Source organism: Homo sapiens, chromosome 17 (genome assembly GCF_000001405.40).
Source record: "Homo sapiens chromosome 17, GRCh38.p14 Primary Assembly".
Taxonomy (NCBI): domain Eukaryota; kingdom Metazoa; phylum Chordata; class Mammalia; order Primates; family Hominidae; genus Homo; species Homo sapiens.
The window spans coordinates 81721487-81742542 of NC_000017.11; the positions used below are offsets into that span (position 1 = coordinate 81721487).

A 21056-nucleotide genomic window follows, 5' to 3' on the forward strand; every position below is an offset into this window, starting at 1 on the left:
TTTTTTTAAGACAGGGTCTTACTGTGTCACTCAGGCTGGAGTGCAGTGGCGCAAACAGCCTGTAGTCCCAGCTACTTGGAAGGCTGCGGTGGGATCCTTTAAGCCTGCAAGTTCGAGGCTGCAGGGAGCTATGATCGCACCACTGCACTCCAGCCTGGGTGACAGAGCGAGACCCCATTTCAAAAAAAGAATGTAATGGTGGGCCGGGTGTGATCTCTCATACTTGTAATCCCAGCACTGTGGGAGGCTGAGGCAAGATCTCTTGAGCCCAGGAATTCGAGACTAGCCTGGACGATATGGTGAGATCTCCATCTGTACAGAAAATTTAAAAATTACCTGAGCGTCATGGCATGCACCTGTAGTCCCAGCTACTTGGGAGGCTGAGGTGGGAGGATCACTTGAGCCCAGGAGATTTAGGCCACGATGAGCCATGATTGCGCCACTGCACTCCAGCCTGGAGAACAGAGCAAGACCCTGTCTCAGAAAAAAAAAAAATCTTTGATATCCTTGAATATCCATTCAGTGCTCAAGTTTCTCTGACTGCCATGTGCATTTTGTGAAGAGCTGGTTTTGTTTGAACTGGGGACCAGTGGGAGCTCTGAGGTTTGTACATGGTACCCAGTGCCCAGGTTGGAAATTCACACCCAGGGAGTGGCTGGGTAGGTTCAGGGGGAAGGCTGCTGCTTCCTGAGAAACCAGGTGGTTCAGAAAGGCAGCTCTAGCCAGCAAATCCCAAAATCTGCAGATGGAGGGACCACATTCTCAGAGCTGCTTTGATGGGAGCCCTGGAGGAAGCGGCCATCATGACAGGGCACCGGGGCCACCCCAGAGGCTGGCATCACCCCCAGCCCCTCCCTGCAGTCAGCCCCACTGGGACAGTGCCAGTCAGGGGATGAAAGTGCCCAGTCTGGTTTGGCAGGGCCAGGCCTGGCAGTGGGCCACCACAGGGCAGGGTGCAGAGGGTGGGGTGGGAGAGGAGGCCAGTGGGCAGGGCTCCTTACCCACCCTCCACAGAAGCCACAGCTCCCCAGGTCCAGGGCACAGGCCCAGGGTGGGGGTAGGTCAGAGGGGATGTCAGTCCTGTGGTTTCATGGCCCTTAACCCACAGGCCCTGCAGGCCACCTGGTCCGAAGGCCAGAAGCCAGTCAGTTTCACGCTTGGGGGCCAGGGAGAGATCTGGACCCTGCTGAGTCAGCATTTCAGCAGTCACCTGCTGAGTCAGCAGTCATTTCCGTGCTTTTTTTTTTTTTTTTTTTTTTCTCTCCTTTTGGATGGATTTTTGCTCTGTCACCCAGGCTGGAGTGCAGTGGTGAGGTCTCAGCTCACTGCAACCTCCACCTACCAGGTTCAAGCGATTTTCGTGCCTCAGCCTCATGAGTAGCTGGGACTACAGGTGCACATCACCAAGCCTGGCTCCTTTTTGTATTTTTAGTAGAGACGAGGTTTCACCATGTTGGCCAGGCTGGTCTCAAACTCCTGACCTCAAGTGATCCACCCCCTTCAGCCTCCCAAAAGTTCTGGGATTACAGGCATGAGCCGCCGCATCCAGCCTCCATGCATTTTTTTAAGTGACTTCATAGTTTACAAAAAGTTACACAATAATCATTTATTGTCAAGAAATTTCAACAAGGATGCCAAGACAATTCAGTGGGGAAAGAAAAGTCTATTCGCCTGGCGTGGGGGCTCACACCTGTAATCCCAGCACTTTGGGAGGCCGAGGCGGGTGGATCATCTGAGGTCAGGCCAACATGGTGAAACCCCATCTCTGCTAAAAATACCAAAAAATTACCGAGGCATGGTGGAGCACACCAGTCCCAGCTACTCGGCAGGCTGAGGCAGGAGAATCGCTTGAACCCGGGAGGCAGAGGTTGCAGTGAGCCAAGATTGCACCACTGCACTCCAGCCTAAGCTAGAAGAGCAAAACTGTCTCAACAACAACAACAAAAAAACTTCTGTGCTTTAAAGGACACTATCAGGAAAGCGGGAGACAGCCCGCATAATGGGAGGAAATCTCTGTAAATCGTATCAGATAAGGGACTACAGTCTAGAACATATAAGAAAACTCTTACAAGAAAGAAAGTTGTTAATGGCACAGGATGGGAAAGAAGGTATACAAATGGCCAATAAACACAGGAGACACCACTCGGCATTATCAGTTGTTAAGGAAATGCAAATCCAAACCACCACAGATGCGGCAGCATCCACTAGGCTAAAATCAAAAGGACAGAAACTGAGCAAGTGTTGGTGAAGCTGTGGAGAAATGAGAACCATCCAGCGCTACTGGGAATGGAGGGTGGTGTGGCCGCTGTGGAATAGAGTCTGGCAGTTCTTCAAAGTGTTAAACACAGTTACCATCTAACCCAGTAATTCCACGCCTCTGTACGTACCCAGGAGGAAAGAAAACATGTATTTATAGAAACTTGGACACAAATGGAGATGGGCGTGGTGGTGCGTGCCTGTAGTCCCAGCTACCCAGGAGTCTAAGGTGGAAAGATCACTTGAGCCCCGTAGTTCAAGACTAGCCTGGGCAAGTTAGTGAAACTCCATCTCTACGAAAATTTTTAAGTATTAGCCAGGTGTGGTAGCGCACGCCTGTGGTCCCAGCTGTTCGGGAGGCTGAGGTGGGAGGATCACTTGAGCCCAGGAGGTGGAGGCTGCAGTGGGCTGAAATTGTACCACTGCACTCCAGCCTGGGCAACAGAGTGAGACCCTGTCTCAATAAACAAAGAAGCAAAATGAAAATGTAGGGCCGGGTGCGGCGGCTCACACCTGTAATCCCAGCATTTTGGGAGCCTGAAGCGGGAGAATACTGAGGTTAGAAGTTCAAGACCAGCCTGACCAACGTGGTGAAACCTTGTCTCTACTAAAAATACAAAAAATTAGCCGAGTGTGGTAGTAGGCACCTGTAACCCCAGCTAAGGTTGAGGCAGGAGAATCGCTTGAACCCGGGAGGTGGAGGTTGCAGTGAGCTGAGATCGCATCACTGCAGTTTAGCCTGGGTGACAGTGCGAGACTCCGTCTCCAAAAAAAAAAAAAAGAAAAGAAATGTAGCATTTAGGAGCACATACTGAGGTGGTAAAACAAAAAAGGGGAAACAGTCCCCATAAAGTCAGAAGGGTGTGGGTTGGGAAACCTGTAACTGGGAGGTGGCACCAGTGGCTTCTGGAAGCTTCTGGAACACTGGTTCTGCTCCCCACTATGGCCTGAGCGTCTGCCTTATCATCAATCACTTGGCTCTCCATATTTTCTTTTTTTTTTTTTTTTTTTTTTTTTGAGACGAAGTTTTGCTCTTTTTGCCCAGGCTGGAGTGCAGTGGTACGATCTCCAACCTCTGCCTCCCGGGAGGTATGATCACTGCAATCTCTGCCTCCCGGGTTCAAGCGATTCTCTTTTCTCAGCCTCCCAAGTAGCTGGCATTACAGGCATGCGCCACCATGCCCGGCTAATTTTTGTATTTTTAGTAGAGACAGGGTTTTGCCATGTTGGCCAGGCTGGTCTCGAACTCCTGACCTCAGGTGATCCACCTGCCTTGGCCTCCCAAAGTGCTGAGATTTTAGGTGTGAGCCACCACGCCCAGCCTGAAGCTCATACTTTAAAAATATTTTTTTGTGTGTGGCCGAGGGCAGTGGCTCACTCCTGTAATCCCAGCACTTTGGGAGACTGAGGTGGGCCGATCATCTGAGGTCAGAAGTTCAAGACCAGCCTCACCAACATGGAGAAAGCTCGTCTCTACTAAAAATACAAAATTAGCCGGGTGTGGCGGCCCATGCCTGTAATCCCAGCTACTTGGGAGGCTAAGGCAGGAGAATCACTTGAACCTGGGAGGCGGAGGTTGAAGTGAGCCAAGATTGTGCCACCGCACTCCAGCCTAGGGAACCACAGCGAAACTCCATCTCAAAAAAAACAAAAAATAACAATAATTATTATTATTTTTGAGATGGGGTCTCGCTTTGTCACCCAGGCTGGAGTGAGATGGCACAATAATAGCTCACTGCAGCTTGAACTTCTAGGCTGAAGCGATCCTCTGGCCTTGGCCTCCCATAGCCCTGGGACAGCAGGCATGAGCCATGGCCCAGCTGGTTTTCTGAAGTTATGGAGATTTTTATTGCAGTCTCGTACCCGCTACACTTTTGTGAACCGCTGCATGCACGTCTGAAAAGAACACGTGTTGTCTCTTGGTTACACAGCTTAATTTGGGTATTCATGACTTTTTGATTAGGCATGCTAATTGTAATGTGCAAATCTTCTTTTTTTTTTTTTTTTTTTTTTTTTGAGGCAAGGTTTCGCTCTTATTGCCCAGGCTGGGGTTCAATGGCTCGGTCTAGGCTCACTGCAACCTCCGCCTCCTGGGTTCAAGCAATTCTCCTGCCTCAGCGTCCCGAGTAGCTGGGACTACAGGCACCTGCCACCACGCCTGGCTAACTTTTGTATTTTTAGTAGAGACGGGGTTTCACCATGTTGGCCAGGCTGGTCTCGAACTCCTGACCTCAAGTGATCCGCCTGCCTTGGCCTCCCAGACTGCTGGGATGACAGGTGTGAGCTGCCATGCCCAGCCGTAATGTTTAAATCTTCTATGTCCTTGCTTGGTTATGTTGAGCCAACCTTGTAAATTCTGAGATTGCGTGTGAAAGGTTCTCCCTGTGGTTCTGGATCTGTCCAATCCTCTGTGCACCTCACAGTCCTTCCTGACGTGATCCAGCTCCGTGTCTGCGCTTGCCGCTTTAGTCTCAGGTAAACATCTTAGTGGCACAGAGCCCACCAGTCTGCCCAGACAGGGGAGAGGCGGGTGAGTGGTGGCAAACCATGTGACCCAGTTCTTTTTTTTTTTTGAGATGGAGTTTCGCTCTTGTCGCCCAGGCTGGAGTGCAGTGGCATCATCTTGGCTCACTGTAACCTCCACCTCCTGGTTCAAGTGATTCTCCCGCCTCAGCCTCCCAAGTAGCTGGCATTATAGGCATGCGCCGCCATGCCCAGCTAATTTTATATTTTTAGTAGAGATGGCATTTCACCAGGTTGGCCAGGCTGGTCTTGAACTCCTGGCCTCAAATGATCTACCCACCTCCACCTCCCAAAGTGCTGGGATTACAGGCATGAGCCACTGTGCCCGGCCTCCATGTGACCCAGTTCTGATGGCAAGACGTGAGGAGAGATGCCCTGGGAGCCCTGATGCAGTCCAGCCTCTGTGGACACACTTCTGATGGTCACACAGTTACGTTTGGCAGACCATTCTTTTTTTCAGTGATGGAATATTCTTCTAGGTCCTATGTAATCATTGTTGTTTTCACTTCTATTTTGTCTGATGTTAATATCACCGTACCTGCCTTATGTTCTACCTTTCCGGGTCATTTTGTTTTGGGTGTGCATAAATACTCATGTGGCAATTCAGGCCGGACGCAGTGGCTCGCGCCTGTAATCCCAGCACTTTGGGAGGCCGAAGCAGGTGGATCACTTGAGGTCAGGAGTTCAAGACCAGCCTGGCCAACATGGTGAAACCCCGTTTCTACTAAAAATCAAAAATTAGCTGGGCATGGTGGCGCGCACCTGTAGTCCCAGCTACTCGGGAGGCTGAGACAGGAGAATCACTTGAACCCAGGAGGCAGAGATTGCAGTGAGCCAAGATTGCACCACTGCACTCCAGCCTGGGCTACAGAGCTAAACTGTCTCAAAAATAAATAAAGTAATAAAATAATAAAATAAATAGTCACGTGATGCTTCAGGTCATCTGACATCCTGCCCCCCACCCCTTAGTAAAATGCCTGCTGTTTTATTCAAGCAGCTACCACCCCACCCCAGTCCTTGGGCCTCAAGGGCACCAGGGCCTGACCCCAGCTCCCAGCATGAATAGGGTTGGTTTAAACCAGTCGGCATGGCCCACAGTGACTGGTTTAGGCATGGGCCTGTCACCCACACTGGGCCAATGATATGTAAGATGTTTATTGTAGCTTCCGGGATGGAAACTTCTCTGCCAGCTTGTGGGTTGGGCAAGGACGACACTCCGGGCCCTACCGGCGGAAGCTCTGCTCCTGTCGTGCGTGGACCACGCAGCAAATGGCCTTGGAGGCTGCTGGCAGCCATCTTGTGACCATGAGGCAAGTCAGCGCAGGCCGAAGCTGACGACGCGAAGACAATGAGGAGAGGGAGAAAGAGCCGATCTTTGGTGTGTATTGGCTGTGACGTGCTGCCGCCTCTCTGGAGACCGGGTTCATTATACTTTTCCTGGTATCTTCTCATGTTTGCTCTGCTGGCTTTGGGCCCGAGTTTTACCTCCTGGGTGTATTGTGTGTGCCTGTTTTGTGGTGTTGGTTTTGCTCCTGGGTTTGTTGACCCTTGGGTGTCTGCTCTTTTTTTTTTTTTTTTTTTTTTTTGGGACAGAGTCTCACGCTGTCACCCAGGCTGGAGTGCAGTGACCTGATCTTGGCTCACTGCAGCCTCTACCTCCTGGGTACAAGCGATTCTTCTGCCTCGGCCTCCTGAATAGCTGGGATTACAGGTGCCTGCCACGGCTAATTTTTTTACTTTTAGTAGAGATGGGGTTTTGCCATGTTGGCTAGGCTGGTCTTGAACTCTTAACCTCAGGTGATCTGCCCACCTCCGCCTCCCAAAGTGCTAGGATTTATAGGCATGAGTCACCGTATCCAGCATTTTTTGCTTGTTTGTTTGTTTTGAGACGGAGTCTCGCTGTGTCACCCAGGCTGGAGTGCAGCGGTGTGATCTCGGCTCACTGCAAGCTCCGCCTCCCAGGTTCACACCATCCTCCTGCCTCAGCCTCCTGAGTTGAGTATCTGGGACTGCAGGCGCCCGCCACCACGCCCGGCTAATTTTTTTGTATTTTTTAGTAGAGACGGGGTTTCACCGTGTTAGCCAGGATGGTCTCCGATCTCCTGACCCGGTGATCCACCTGCCTCGGCCTCCCGAAGTGCTGGGATTACAGGCGTGAGCCACCGCACCTGGCCAGCTCTAGCTGGTTTTACGGGTGAATTTTTACCAAACATTCATGGAACAGAAAAATCCGTGTCTTGAAATTTTCACAGAAGGCTAGCATGATCTCAACTCCAAAATGAAAATTAAGACACATCTGTTTCATGACTGTAGATGTAGAAAGCCTAGATAAACTATTAATAAATTGAAGTCAGCTGCATATAAGAAATGTCAGACCTCATGATCACGTAGGGGTTATATCAGAATTTCAATGTCAGGAAACTAACTAATGTTATCTGCATGTTACATTAAGAGTAAAGGAGGCTGGGCGTGGTGGCTCACGCCTGTAATCCCAGCACTTTGGGAGGCCGAGGCAGGCGGATCACCTGAGCTCAGGAGTTCAAGACCAGCCTGGCCAACATGGTGAAACCCCGTCTCTAGTAAAAATACAAAAATTAGCCCGGCATCATGGAGTGTGCCTGTAGTCCCAGCTACTCAGGAGGCTGACGCGGGACCCTCGCCTGAACCTGGGAGGTAGAGGTTGCGGTGAGCCAAGATCGCACCATTGCATTCCAGCCTGGGCACGAAGCGAGACTCCGTCAAAAAAAAAAAAAAAAATTAAAGAATAAAATTTCTGCAGGCATCTCAACAGCTACAGAAACAGCATTTTGTGCAATTCAATACTGATTTGCAGGGGCCAGGGGTCATGGCTCATGCCTGCAATCCCAGCACTTTGGGAGACCAAGGCAGGTGGATCCCTTGGGCTCAAGAGTTCAAGATCAGCCTGGGCAATGTAGCAAAACCCCATCTAAAAAAATAAGAAAATATTAGGCAAGCATGGTGCATATGTGCACAGGGCGCACACCTGTGGTCCCAGCTACTGGGGGTCTGAGGTGGGAGGATTGCTTGAGCCCAGGAGGTTGAGGCTACAGTGAGCCGTGATGGTGGCCCTGGACTCCAGCCTGGGCAACAGAGTGCAACCCCGTCTCAAAAAAGAAAAATACTCATTTGCAACTTTTATTTTTTTAATTAAAAAAAAATTTAATTTATTTATATTTTTGGGGACAGAGTCTCGCTATGTCACCCAGGCTGCAGTGCGATGGCATGATCTCAGCTCACTGCAACCTCCACCTTCTGAGTTCAAGTGATTCTCCTGCCTCAGCCTCCTGAATAGCTGGAATTACAGGTGACCGCCACCATGCCTGGCTAATTTTTGTATTTTTAGTAGAGACGGGGATTCACCATGTTGGCCAGGCTGGTCTCGAACTCCTGACCTCGTGATCCACCCATCTCAACCTCCCAAAGTGCTGGGGTTACAGGAGTGAGCCACCGTGCCTGGCCTCATTTGCAATTTTTAAAAATTGCTTTGCAATGCCGGGCGCGGTGGCTTACGCCTGTAATCTCAGCACTTTGGGAGGCCGAGGTGGGCACATCATGAGGTCAGATCGAGACGATCCCGGCTAACACGGTGAAACCCCATCTCTACTAAAAATACAAAAAAAAAAATAGCTGGGCATGGCGGCGTGTGCCTATTATCCCAGCTGCTGGGGAGGCTGAAGCAGGAGAATGGCGTGAACCCGGGAGGCGGAGCTTGCAGTAAGCTGAGATCGCGCCACCGCACCCCAGCCTGGGTGACAGAGCAAGACTCCATCTCAAAAAAAAAAAAAATTGCTTTGCAACCTAGTAGTAGAAGAACAATTCCTTGATCTGATAAAGAGCATTCCCTTAACAAGATATAGCAAAATTTAAAACCCGTGAATTATAGAAAAGATACACATTTGATTATATAATATTTTTAAAAATATGCATGGCACAAGACTCTATAAACAAATATACACAATGGAAGCCATGGTGGGAGGTATCGGCCAGGGCCACGTCTGAGTCCTTGGCAGAGCTGGGTCACGCAGTGAAGAGCTGGGAGGGGCCTGGACAGGGCAGCAGTGGGTCAGGTTTGGGCTTAAAGAAGACGTCCCAGCTGGTGGTTCTTCAAACAATTAAACATACAGTGGCCGTGCAACCCAGCAATGCCACTCCTAGGTGAGGACCCAAGATAAATGAAGACGTCCGGCCAGGCGCATTGGCTCACACCTGTAATCCCAGCACTTTGGGAGCCTTAGACAGATGGATCACTTTCAGCTCAGGAATTAAAGACCAGCCTGGGCAACACAGGGAGACCCTGTCTCGTTAAAAAATACAAAAATTGCCAGGCGTGGTGGCTCATGCCTGTAATCCCAGCACTTTGGGAGGCCGAGGCAGGCGGATCACCTGAGGTCAGTAGTTTGAGACCAGCCTGATGAACATGGTGAAACCCCGTCTCTACTAGAAATAGAAAAATTAGCTGGACGTGGTGACTAACACCTGTAATCCCAGCTACTCAGGAGGCTGAGGCAGAAGCGCTTGAACCTGGGAAGCGGAGGTTGCAGTGAGCCGAGATCACGCCATTGCACTCCAGCCTGGGCAACAAGATGAAACTCCATCTCAAAAAAAAAAAAAAAAATTAGCTGGGCATCGTTGTCTTGTGCCTGCGGTGCCAGCTATTCTGGAGGCTGAGATTGGAGAATCATTTGTGCCCAGTGAAGCAGAGGTGGCAGTGAGCCAAGATCATGCCACTGCGCTCCAGCTTGGGTGACAGAGTGAGACTCTGTCTCAAAAAAAAAAAGAGTCTACATAAAACATTGTGCGCGCCTGTGCATAGCAGCACATCCATAATCACAGAGAGGCGGAAACAGCTGTGTCCATCAACAGAGGTTGGTCACACAGGGGGTCCTGTGCCCAATGCAGTGGACTCTTGGGCCTTAGAATGAAGTTCTGATCCACACGGCAGCACCGACGGACCTTGGGCACTGTGCTGTGTGAAATAAGCAGACAGATGCTGTGTGGCAGCACTTACAGGGGCATCCTGAGCGACTTTGTGGAGACAGCTCTTAGGGCTGGGGAGGGAGGGATGCGGGAAGGGGGCGGGAGCTGGAGGGTGGAGGGCTCTTTCTGAGATGAGGAAATGATCTAAAACTGCCTGCGGTGACGGCTGCACAGCTCTGAAGATGCAGAAACTCGCTGAGCTGGACGCATTCTGAATTGTGTGGTATGTGAATTATGTCTCAGTAAAGCCATTAAAAAAAAACACCCAGGAGCCAGGCGCAGTGGCTCATGCCTATAATCCCAGCACTTTGGGAGGCGGAGGCAGGCGGATCATCTGAGGTCAGGAGTTGGAGACCAGCCTGACCAACATGGTGTAACCTCGTCTCTGCTAAAATACAAAAATTAGCTGGGTGTTGTGGCGGGCACCTTTAATCCTGGCTACTTGGGAGGCTGAGGCAGGAGAATTGCTTGAACCTGGGAACGGGAGGTTGCAGTGAGCCAAGATCGCGCCATTGCACTCCAGCCTGGGCGACAGAGCGAGACTCCGTCTCAAAAAAACAAAACAAAACAAAACAGCCAGGCAACCAAGTAGACAATGGAGGGAGGGGGTGACAGCTGAGGACGCCCATTGTCTGCTGGTGCTCCAGGCGGTGCTCCCCACTCCCAGCCCAGTCGCCCCCTGCTCCTGGCCTGGATTTGAGGCCTAGAGAGACACCTGCCCTCCCCCGGATCCGTGCCCCGCAGAAGTGCAGTCTTGGTGCCCAAATGTGCGCCCGCTGGGGCAGAGGAGAATCCGCGGGGCCTGAAGCAGAATCGCGCCCTCCCCCCAACCTGCCGGCTGCCCGGGCGCTCCCCATGGGCCCAGACGCAGGAGACAAAGGAGAACATGGGGGTTCAGGTATGCACTGGGGCGCAGACAGGGCCAGGCAAGACAAGAGGGCAGGGCTGCCGGGAAGGACGAGTGCCTCGGGAGCCTCTCTGCAGGTGAGACACAGGTTGAAGCATTGACTGATTTGTTCTCTCGCAGTGAGGCAGGAGAGGAGGGAATAATTGGGGTGACCCAGGGTTGAGGCGTGAGCAAGAGAACAGCAAAGGCAGCTGGTTCTGGGTAACACTGGGCCTCACTCCTATGGTAACAAGACAGTTTCCACTTCAGCCTCTGATTGGCTGTGAGCCAGTCCTTCATAAGGAGTCACCAGTTGGAGGCCTCTAAAGGGCACCTGGGGTGTTACCAAATTCTCCTGGCTTCCTAAAAACCCTGGGGAGCACTGCCATAGAGGCTCTGGGGCCGCCTGCTCCGCCCGCTGCCTCTCTGTGAATTGCACCTTGTGGTCTTCAATGAATCTGTGCTTTCGTCACTCCGTTTTTTGCTTGTCTTGTCTTTCGTTACTTCATTCTTTTGTTGCTTTCTTTGTGCGTGTTCAATTCTTTGTTCTGCACACAAGAACCTAAACAACTCACAGTCGAGACCTTCCAACCAGTAACACCAGCGGCCCCTCCCCTGGGAAGCCTCCAGAGGACGGGAGGCTGCCTGTAAAAGCTGAAGAGTCCTGAGTCTTCTGCGTGATTCCAGAGACTCCTGGGATGCCCTGGGGTGGGGGGCAGGGGAACGCTGGGGCACGGGTGGACCCAGGAAAGAGACGTGTAGAGCGCCTTGCCCCACCACCCTCCTCCCAGGCCATGTCATCTGCCACCCAGGCCAGGGCTACACCTCACCTGCCACTCAGGCCATACCATACCCTCACCTGTTGCCCAGGCCACACCCACATCCTCACCTGTTGCCCCTCCTCCTTGCGGCCCAGGAGGTCTCTGAAGATGCAGGCTCTACCTTCTGCCCGGCCCCCAGCCCTCCACCCGAGAAGTGGATGTGAAGTCACTCTGTGCATCTCCGCCCCTTTCCCACCCATTGGCCCTTGCCCTGCTCAGGGTCCCACGCTCTTCCCTCCTCCTGCCCCTCGTGGCCCCTCCTGTCTGCCCTGGCCCCCCCACACATCCAGGGGGCAGTTTGCTTCCTCCACTGACCTCCCCTCTCTGTGACATTATCTGTTTTTACAAACTTCAGGCATCTAAGCCGGGCACATTGGCCCAAGCCTGTAATCCCAGCACTTTGGGAGGCCGAGGCAGGCGGATCACTTAAGCTCAGGAGTTCGAAACCAGCCTGGCCAAGATGGTGAAACCCCATCTCTACTAAAAATACAAAAGATTAGCCGGCTGTGATGACGCGCACCTGTAATCTCAGCTACTCGGGAGGCTGAGGCACGAGAATCGCTTGCACCCAGGAGGTGGAGGCTGCAGTGAGCCGAGATCACGCCAGGGCACTCCGGCCTGGGCGACAGAGTGAGACTTCGTCTCAAGAAAAACCAAAAATCCAAAAGAACTACAGGCATCGGCTGTGTCCCCACTAGGAAGCCGGAGGGGAGCAGGGCTGGGTGTGTCTTCTCTGGCTGCGTCCCTGCGGCCACAAGGCCTGTTCTTCCTCTGTGCCCCGCCTGCCAAGGACCCAGCCTTGTGAAGGATGGATGAATGAATCATTGAGCAAATGAATGAGTGTGTGAACAGGTGAGTGAGGAGAAGCCGGCAGAGGCGGTGGGGTGGATGGTCCACCCGGCTGGCCAGCGGCCTGTCACTCCCTGAGTGGCCTCTGGGTGGCAGCCATGTGGCGCTGTCGGCTCAGGAAGGCTTGGTGCTGGAATGGGGCTGGGACATGGCCAGCCAGGCAGGGTGAGGAGGGTGGCAGCGCCCAGTGCAGCCTGGACAGATGGGGTTCTGCCCGGCAGGGCTGGCATGGGGGCTTCTTTATGCCAAGCCAGCCCTGGGGGAGGCCTCGGCTGTCCAGGGTGAAACAGGGTCAGGGTGATCAGGCTCGGTTTGTGGGGGCGGCCTGTCCTGCTGGAGGGTCCTCCTCACCCAACCCCAGCCTGCTGCAGGCTGTCTGCAGGGGAGATGGCAAAGACGGTGTTGTCCAGTTTGCTTGGGACATGAATGGTCTGGCAAATACGCAATGACACAGCTCTGGGGTCCAGATCCGGCCCAGGCGGCCGCCTGACAGAGGAGGTGCCCACAGAGCTTCCGTGAGAGGGCAGCCCAGGCCCAAGCAGCACTAGAACCCCGGCTTTGGGCTTTTGGGGACTTAGCCGGCCCCGGGGCCAGGGGTAGGATCAGGTTTCCACAGGCCAGACGGCCCCGCACAGTCACCACCGTCACCGTCACCATCACCCGGTGCTGGGCGGGCACCATGTGGACTCCACTTGGCACTGGGCCGATGGGCGGATGCCAGAGCCAGAGCAAAGGCCTCGTTAGCCCCTCGGGGAGGGCACGGCAGGGCCGGGCGACTCAGGAGGGCTGCGGGGTGACGTCTGATTGAGCCTGGAAGGACAGGCCGACCACAGGATGGAGGCCACAGCATCCTTCCCGGAGTCTGACCCCACGCTGGAGACAGAGGGGCTGGGCTGGGCTGGGCAACCTAGACCCGGGAGCCCATCTGTCCAGCCACCAGCGTCCGTCTGTCTGGGTCCCTGCTAGGGAGAGTCTGCAGCAGGGAGACCCCGGCAGCTTCGAGTATGGAGGGGAGACTCTGGCCGCCTGAGGTGAGTAACGTTGGGGGATGATTGTGGGGCTCCATTGGGACTTGGCAGGGCTCTGGGGGTGGGCACTGCAGGGGAAGCAGCTGCAGGCAGGGTGCAGAGGAGGCTCAGCTGAGTCTCCCGCGTGGGACTTCCAACCCCTCCAGGGTCTCTCCAACCCACTTCAGCTTGCAATCCACCCTCCTGCCCTGTGACCATGTGTGGTCACCCGCCCTCAGGGCACAAAAGGGGTCCAGCTCTATTTTCCAGGGACAACTCCAGACCCATGATCCCAGAAGCTTGGGGCCTGCCTTTATCCCAGCACCCAACCCCGAGAGCCCCCAGTGATGGAACTGGTGCAGCGGCCACCACTGCCCGGACCCGGGAGCAACACCGATGCCACACCTGGCGGCAGGAACAGGGCAGTGATGGGCTGTCTGCAAGGGGTCCCCCCTTCCGCAGCAGGTCTCTTGGCTGCAGCTCAGCCCCAGCCCCTGCGGTCCCCAGAGTCCCGGTCACTGGGGGCTCTGCAGGCCACCCTTCCAGGGGCATCCACCCACCCCCGAGTCCGGGTCAGGCAGAACCCAGGGCCCGCCGTCCCCTCCTGCAGGCTCAGGACCTCCTGGGGGGAGTTCCCTGTGTGATGCAGAGGGCACGCTCACCCTGCTGGGAAGGCTCACTGCTTCCCAAGGGGTCTGAGCTTTACTGGCACCTCACTGCAGTCCCTTCCCCGGGGAGACTCTGGGGCTTCCCCTGTGGGACCAGGCACCCGGAAAGGCAGCTCTGTCCCTGCTGAGTCACGCGCACCATCCTGCAGACGGGAGGGCATCTTCCTAGGCTTTCCTCCAGCCAAGAGTGGAGCTGGGACCTGGGAACCTCCCTGGAACCACCCCTGCTCTCCGGCAAGGCGTTCCACCAGCCTGTGTCTACACACGTAGCCCCGCAGAGCAGGCTTCGTGATGCCTGGAGACACCCACTTCCCCTTCCTTCTCCTGGGACTTCTCAGTCACACGGGCTGAGCTGCAGAGGGTGCGTGACCTGGGCTGAGCTGGTCTTTGGCAACTGGGGACTTTGGTTTGACGGTTGGTGGAGGGGAGACTCTCCTAACTTCCAGGGGTGTGAGTCGCAGGCGGTGCAGATGATAGGACAGTGGCCGTTGCCTAGGGCTGAAACCAACACAGCGGTGGGCGGAGCACAGGGAACTTCGGAGAGGGAGCCCGGCCCCCGAGTCAGCTGCTCCTGCGGGTGCTCCCCAAATCATCTAGTGATGTGATCCATTTGTCTTTCCAGCCCATTTCAGTTGAGTTTCCAATGACTTACAACCAATAATATCTCAACTGATACTTGGGCTCTTCAAGCACTAGAATTGTGGTGACGGCAGGAGCGTTAACACACTCTGGGGCGGGGCAGGGACTGCAGACTGAGCGGGCTCCAGGTGAATGCCAGCTTCCAGCCCTGCTGAGCCAGGCTGGGACGAACATGCTCACTAGGTCCGTCTCCACCTACTGTGGGCCAGCGCTGCGTGGCTCACTCCAGGGAAGACAGCAAGTTGGCTCAGCCGCTGCTGTGTGGCTGCTGCTCCCCTGAGTTTATGGCTGTCCATGGCATCTGCCAGGGTCCATCTGGTTTTTTGTGGGAATTGTGCCCGTGAATTTAACAAGGATTGATGGGCATTGCCATCTTGTCTTTTTTTTTTTTTTTAGACAGAGTCTCACTCTGTCGCCGAGGCTGGAGTGCAGTGGCACGATCTCGGCTCACTGCAACCTCTGTCTCCTGGGTTCACACGATTCTCCTGCCTCAGCCTCCCGAGTAGCTGGTATTATAGGCGCCCACCACCACACCCGGCTAATTTGTGTCTTTTTAGTAGAGACGGGGTTTCACCATGTTGGCCAGGCTGGTCTCGAACTCCTGACCTCAGGTGATCCGCCCGCCTTGGCTTCCCAAAGTGCTGGGATTACAGGTGTGAGCCACTGCACCTGGCCTATGTTTAATACTTTTTTAGAGATGGAGTCTCGCTCTCTGTTGCCCAGGCTAAAGTGCAGTGGCACGATCACGGTTTACTGCAGCCTTGACCTCCCAGGCTCAGGCGATCATCCCACCTCAGCCTCCCAATTAGCTGGGACCACAAGCACATACCACTGCACCTGGCTAATTTTTTATTTTTTATTTTTTTGAGACAGAGTCTCGCTCTGTCGTCCAGGCTGGAGTGCAATGGCTCAATCTCAGCTCATTGCAAGCTCCGCCTCCCAGGTTCTTGCCATTCTCCTGCCTCAGCCTCCCGGGTAGCTGGGACTACAGGCGTCCACCACCACGCCCAGCTAATTTTTTGTATTTTTAGTAGAGATGGGGTTTCACTGTGTTAGCCAGGATGGTCTCCATCTCCTGACCTCATGATCCGCCTGCCTTGGCCTCCCAAAATGCTGGGATTACAGGTGTGAGCCACCACACCTGGCCTAATTTTAAAATTTTGTAGTAGAGACAGAGTCTCACTATGTTGTCCAGGCTGGTCTCAAACCCCTGGTCTCAAGTAATCCTCCTGTTTTGGCTTCCCAAAGTGCTGGGATAACAGGTGTGAGCCGCTGTGCCTGGCCCATACTCACAGCTCACAAGTGACCTGTGTGGTTTCCTCTCTCCTTGTGTGGCTGCCTGAGACCAGGCTCAGGTCTGGAATGTCGGCAAGGAGTCACCCACTCTTCTTCTTCTTTTTTTATTTATTTATTTTTTGAGACGGAGTTTTGCTCTTGTTGCCCAGGCTGGAGTGCAATGGCGCAATCTTGGCTCACTGCAACCTCTGCCTCCCGAGTTCAAGTGATTCTCCTGCCTCAGCCTCCCGAGTAGCTGGGATTACAGGCATGCACCACCACACCTGGCTAATTTTGTATTTTAGTAGAGACAGGGTTCTCCATGTTGGTCAGGCTGGTCTCGAACTCTCAACCTCGGATGATCCACCCACCTTGGCCTCCCAGAGTCCTGGGATTACAGGCATGAGCCACTGTGCCCAGCAGGTCACCCACTCTTGTCTCTTTTGTGGCACTCCTGTGTGCCCATCCATTGCTCCCTCTATCCATCATAGCCTCTAGGGTGGCCCCACGAGCCCACTTGTGTTGGTGCCCCAGTGAGTTACCCCCACCTGGAGTGTGGGTGGGAGCGGGCTCCCTTCTATGAATAGGTTGTAGCCAAAGTGACGGGCTGTCCTTCCAAGGGGAGGTCACGCCAACACTGGGCTTCTGTTTTCCTCTCTCTCTCTTACACATTCTGAGCAGAGCTGGCTGCCAGGTGCTGAGCCGCCCCAAGAAAAAGCCCTCGTGGCAAGAAACTGAGGCCTCCAGCCAGCAGTCAGGGACCCGAGGCCTGAGACGGTGGAGGGTGAGCTTGCAAAGGGACCCCACAGTCGGGCCTTGAGAGGCCCACGGGCCTGGCCCACACCTCGGCTGCAGCCTTGTGAAGGTCCCTGAGCAGGGGACCCAGACTTCTGTCCTACAGAAACTTGGAGATAATAAATGCCTGCTCTTCTACGGCACTGAGTGTCGGGTGATTTGTTACGGGCAGTAGACAGCTAATACCTGCCCCTTAGGACACCAAGTCCTCGCCTCCTGGAGGCCCAAGCCCCAGGGAGCCATGCCTGACTTGCCGCCTGTCGATGGGCCACGCGTTCCTTGTTGATGCCATTCTGGGGTCCCCTCACCCTGACATACTAGGAGCCAGTTCCGAGGGAGGCTCTTCTGCCACCAACCCTGGCCCAGGGGGACACTGAGCTCCTTGATGCTGAGGGCCGGTGGTTCCTTATCGCCTGGCGACCAGCGTGTCCTCCGGGTCCTTTTCCAATACCAGCACCTCCCAGCTCAAAAACACAACCCAGCACTCCTGTTCCTCCGTCTCCCGGCCCTCCCTCGACACTGGGCCGAGGCAGCCTGTGCACCTGCCCCAAGCTCCCAGGAGCTGACCCAGCAGCGGATTCGGCCTGGTTCCCGGCATCCTTACCGGGATTTGGAAAATGCTCCTTTCAATCAATAAAGGCCCCACGCGGGCCTTCTTCCGCCCTCCCCTCCAGCATCCTCCATCTCCATTTCCACCCGTCCTCCCCGTCCTGCCAGGCCGCAGCTCCTTGCAGAATAACCCACACCCTCCAGTCGCAGGGACAGAACACCCTAGTTACTGGCCTAGAATTTTGCGGGGGACGAGGACAGGCAGACCCTAAGGAGGACACTCGCCTCAGGTGAGACCTTTGCAAGGTCCCGGCAGTGGGAGCCACTCCCGCCACTGCGGAGGGAACAGAGGGCAGGGATCTAAGAGGCTTCTACCCAAATACCGCATCCAGGTCATAGCGTCCCACCCCCCGCTGCCACCGGGGCCCTGACTTCAACACGGGAGGCAGACCAGACGCCACCGCCCTGGGATCAGAGCTTGGGCCCGAGGGTTGGCCCCGTCTGCACTCTGGCTTTCGGAATGAGGCTCGCTGTCAATGCTGTGGTGGAGCTGCATTCGTTTCCGGGGCTTCTATAACAAGGTGCCATAGAACAGGGCTCCAACAGCAGCCCATTCTCCCACTGTCCTGGAGGCTGGAAGTTCGAGACCAAGGTGCCTGCAGAGTTGGTTCCTCCTGAGGCCTTTCTCCCTGGCTTGTAGATGGCCCTCTTCTCCTGACTCCTCACACAGAGTCATCCCTCTGTGTGTATCTGTGTCCTAGTCTCTCTTCTTTTTCTTTTCGCTTCTTCTTTTTTTTTTTTTGAAGACAGGGTCTCTCTCTCTCTGTCACCCAGGCTGGAGTGCAGTGGTGTTATCATAGCTCACTGCAGCCTAGACCTCCCAGGCTCAGGTGATGCTCCTACCTCAGCCTCCCAAGTAGCTGGGACCACAGACATGTGTCACCACACCCGACTAATTTTTTATATTTTGTTGTAGAGATGGGGTCTCACTATGTTGCCCAGGCTCAACTGGCTTTAAGCCATCCTCCCACCTCGACCTTCCAAAGTGTTGGGATTACAGGTGTGAGCCACTGAGCCTGGCCCTTATCTCTTTTTCTCAGGACACGACTCAGGCCGGGCGTGGTGGCTCATGCCTATAATCCCAGCACATTGGGAGGCCAAGACGGGCGGATCACCTGAGGTCAGGAGTTCCAGACCAGCCTGGTCAGCATGGTGAAACCCCGTCTCTACTAAAAATATAAAAATTAGCCAGGTGTGGTGGCCAGCGCCTGTAATCCCAGCTACTCGGGAGGCTGAGGCAGGAGAATCGCTTGAACCCAGGAGGCGGAGGTTGCAGTGAGCCAAGATCGCACCATTGCACTCTAGCCTGGGTGACAGAGTGGGACTCCGTCTCAAAAAATAAAAAAAGTGGGGGATGGGGGTGGGGGTGGGGGTGGGCCAGGCGCGGTGGCTCACGCCTGTAATCCCATCACTTTGGGAGGCCGAGACGGGTGGATCACCTGAGGTCAGAAGTTCGAGACCAGCCTGACCAACATGGGGAAACTTCATCTCTACTAAAAAATACAAAAATTAGCCGGGTGTGGTGGTGGGTGCCTGTAATCCCAGGTGCTCAGGAGGCGAAGCAGAAGAATCACTTGAACCCAAGAGGTGGAGGTTGCAGTGAGCCAAGCTCGTGACACTGCACTCCAGACTGGGTGACAGAGCAAGACTTCATTTCAAAGGAAAAAAAAAACAAGGCCAGCGGTCATGTGGGAACAGGACTCGCTGTAATCCCCTCTTTAAAGGCCATATCTGTAAATACAGCCCCGTTCTCAGGAAATGAGGGTCAGGACCTCAATAAACACATTCTGAGGAGAGAACACCGCCGCGATTGGGTCTTCTGGATCTCACCGGAGGCCCTGAACTGCTGCCGGCTGCCCTGAGCTTTTTTCTCGCCTTCAGTCTCGGTGACACCCCTGCACCTCTCAAACGCGGGAGACCAGGCTTGGTGGTGAGTCCCGTCCACTTGGGTCCAGGCCAGGCCATCCCGGGTGAGCCCTACAGCCGTGCGCCGCCACCACCCCATGCCCAGCAGGGAAGTTGGTGGAGAAACACCCGCCGCGCTGGCGGGGGGAGCACTGAGGCCGTGAGCGGCACGCAGGGCGGGAGGCGCGGGGCAGGAAGCCCAGTGGTGCTCCTGGCCCTGGACAGTCTGGAGGTCCCAGGGGCCACCGCACAGTGCAGGCTTGGCCTCTTCCGGGCTTCCTGCGGGACCCCCTCCAGCCCTCCCAGCCCCTCCCTCCCCCAGCCTCCCTCCCCAGCCCCTCCTTGAAGCCACAGGGAACCCAAGACACATCTTGGTCCTCACCCCGCACCAGGGGCTTTGAGACCACCCCTCAGCACCCACGCCTGCCCCCTCTGGGCACCCCCCCCAACCCAGGCTCCCCTCACAGCCCCGGGCCTGAGGCTTGTCTGTCCCCATCAGACCTTGCTGCCCCCGCACCCTGTGGGGAATCCAGGGATCGCGCTGCTCCTCCCTGCCCTGTGCCCCTGCCTCCCCGCCGGCGCTGCCCAGGACCCGCAGCTCCCGCACCTGTTGCTGATCGGAGCCTGGCCCCGTCCACCTCCACCATCCCGCCAACTGGCCTGATTTGATCGAGCCTCGCCAGATGCAGCCTAATGTGACTTCGCAGAGCCTGATGACCTTGATGGTAGCTCAGGGCGAGAGTGTCTGGCGAGGCAGATGCCGGGACACAGGTGCCCTCATTACAACCTCCCCTTTTGCAGGAGGATGGGGGGCTCACTCAGGGAGAGGAGGGGCGGCCATGGGAGGACGACTTTGAGTCCCTCAGTCCAGCCTGCTTCCCACAAGCCAGGGCCAGGCTGGGCAGCGCCCACCAAACTTTCCCTAGGACCCGGCTCCAGGGGGTCTGAGGGTTTCCCTGGCAAGCCACCTCCAGAGCCCTGGGCGCCCCATCTGTGAAACGGGGAGGAGAGCCCAGCCTTCCACAGAGATGGACCTCCAGGCGCGGCCACACCCGGGTCACACACACACACACTCTGGTCTCTGACCAGCCCCATCTCGGCCGAGGGTCCATCCTGGTGCCCTGATTGGGGAACACCTGCTGCGTGCAGGGTTGAGGTGGCCGGAGAGGCTGGAGCGAGAGTCCTGGTCACCAGGGGCCTCCGAGGCTGCCTACCCCAGTGCCTGCACCCGGCACCGTCGCTGGGGGCCCATGATCAGATTTGCAGCCGGGCCAGAGGGACACACCCTTCCCCCACCTCGCTGCACTGGGTCTTGGGTGTGCCTGGACGGGAGCCCCTCGCACCTCAGCCCTGGAGGCTCGCCCTGGCCAGGCCTTCTGGGGGAGAGGCAGCCCCTCCAGAGCCCTGGCATCCTTGCTGCTCCGAAGAGGCCCTGAAGGAGTGAGCGACACGCGGGGGCCTCACACACACACACACCCGCAAACACATCCCCCCTCTACAAACACCCCCCCACATACACACCACAAACACTCCACAAACACACACATCACACACACCACACACAGAAAATACACAATACACACCACACACACACCTCACACACACCTCACACACCCCCACACACACACCCCCCACAAACACACCACACACACACACCACACACACTCCACAAACACACCACACACACCACACACAGAAAACACACAATACATAACACACCACACACACACCACACACACCACACACACCCCACAAATACACACACCACACACCCCAAACACACAGCACACACACCACACACACATCACACACAGAAAACACAATA

General features: G+C 55.2%; 1 long non-coding RNA gene across 3 annotated transcripts, besides 3 other annotated features; it reads left to right on the forward strand.

The window, feature by feature from the left end:
• Positions 981-1522: an enhancer, noted in NCBI's record as "H3K4me1 hESC enhancer chr17:79689497-79690038 (GRCh37/hg19 assembly coordinates)". NCBI's record gives its function as "activates a minimal SCP1, AML or CMV promoter by ChIP-STARR-seq in primed H9 embryonic stem cells {active_cell/tissue: H9 hESC(primed)}" and the evidence as "EXISTENCE:reporter gene assay evidence [ECO:0000049][PMID:30033119]".
• Positions 8666-8885: a silencer, noted in NCBI's record as "fragment chr17:79697182-79697401 (GRCh37/hg19 assembly coordinates)". NCBI's record gives its function as "represses an EF-1alpha promoter that drives an FKBP-Casp9 reporter gene in an ReSE screen in K562 erythroleukemia cells {active_cell/tissue: K562}" and the evidence as "EXISTENCE:reporter gene assay evidence [ECO:0000049][PMID:32094911]".
• LOC105371929 (uncharacterized) lies at positions 9829-16860 on the forward strand. Of its 3 annotated transcripts, XR_935049.2 has the most exons (3): positions 9829-12336; positions 13300-14369; positions 16604-16860. It is a non-coding gene; the product is annotated as an uncharacterized LOC105371929 (long non-coding RNA). The 3 variants fall into 3 exon arrangements; XR_007065948.1 differs by having other exon boundaries at positions 9829-14369; XR_007065949.1 differs by having other exon boundaries at positions 12083-13364.
• Positions 10606-11142: an enhancer, noted in NCBI's record as "H3K27ac-H3K4me1 hESC enhancer chr17:79699122-79699658 (GRCh37/hg19 assembly coordinates)". NCBI's record gives its function as "activates a minimal SCP1, AML or CMV promoter by ChIP-STARR-seq in naive H9 embryonic stem cells {active_cell/tissue: H9 hESC(naive)}" and the evidence as "EXISTENCE:reporter gene assay evidence [ECO:0000049][PMID:30033119]".
• Positions 16861-21056: the final 4196 nt, after the last annotated feature.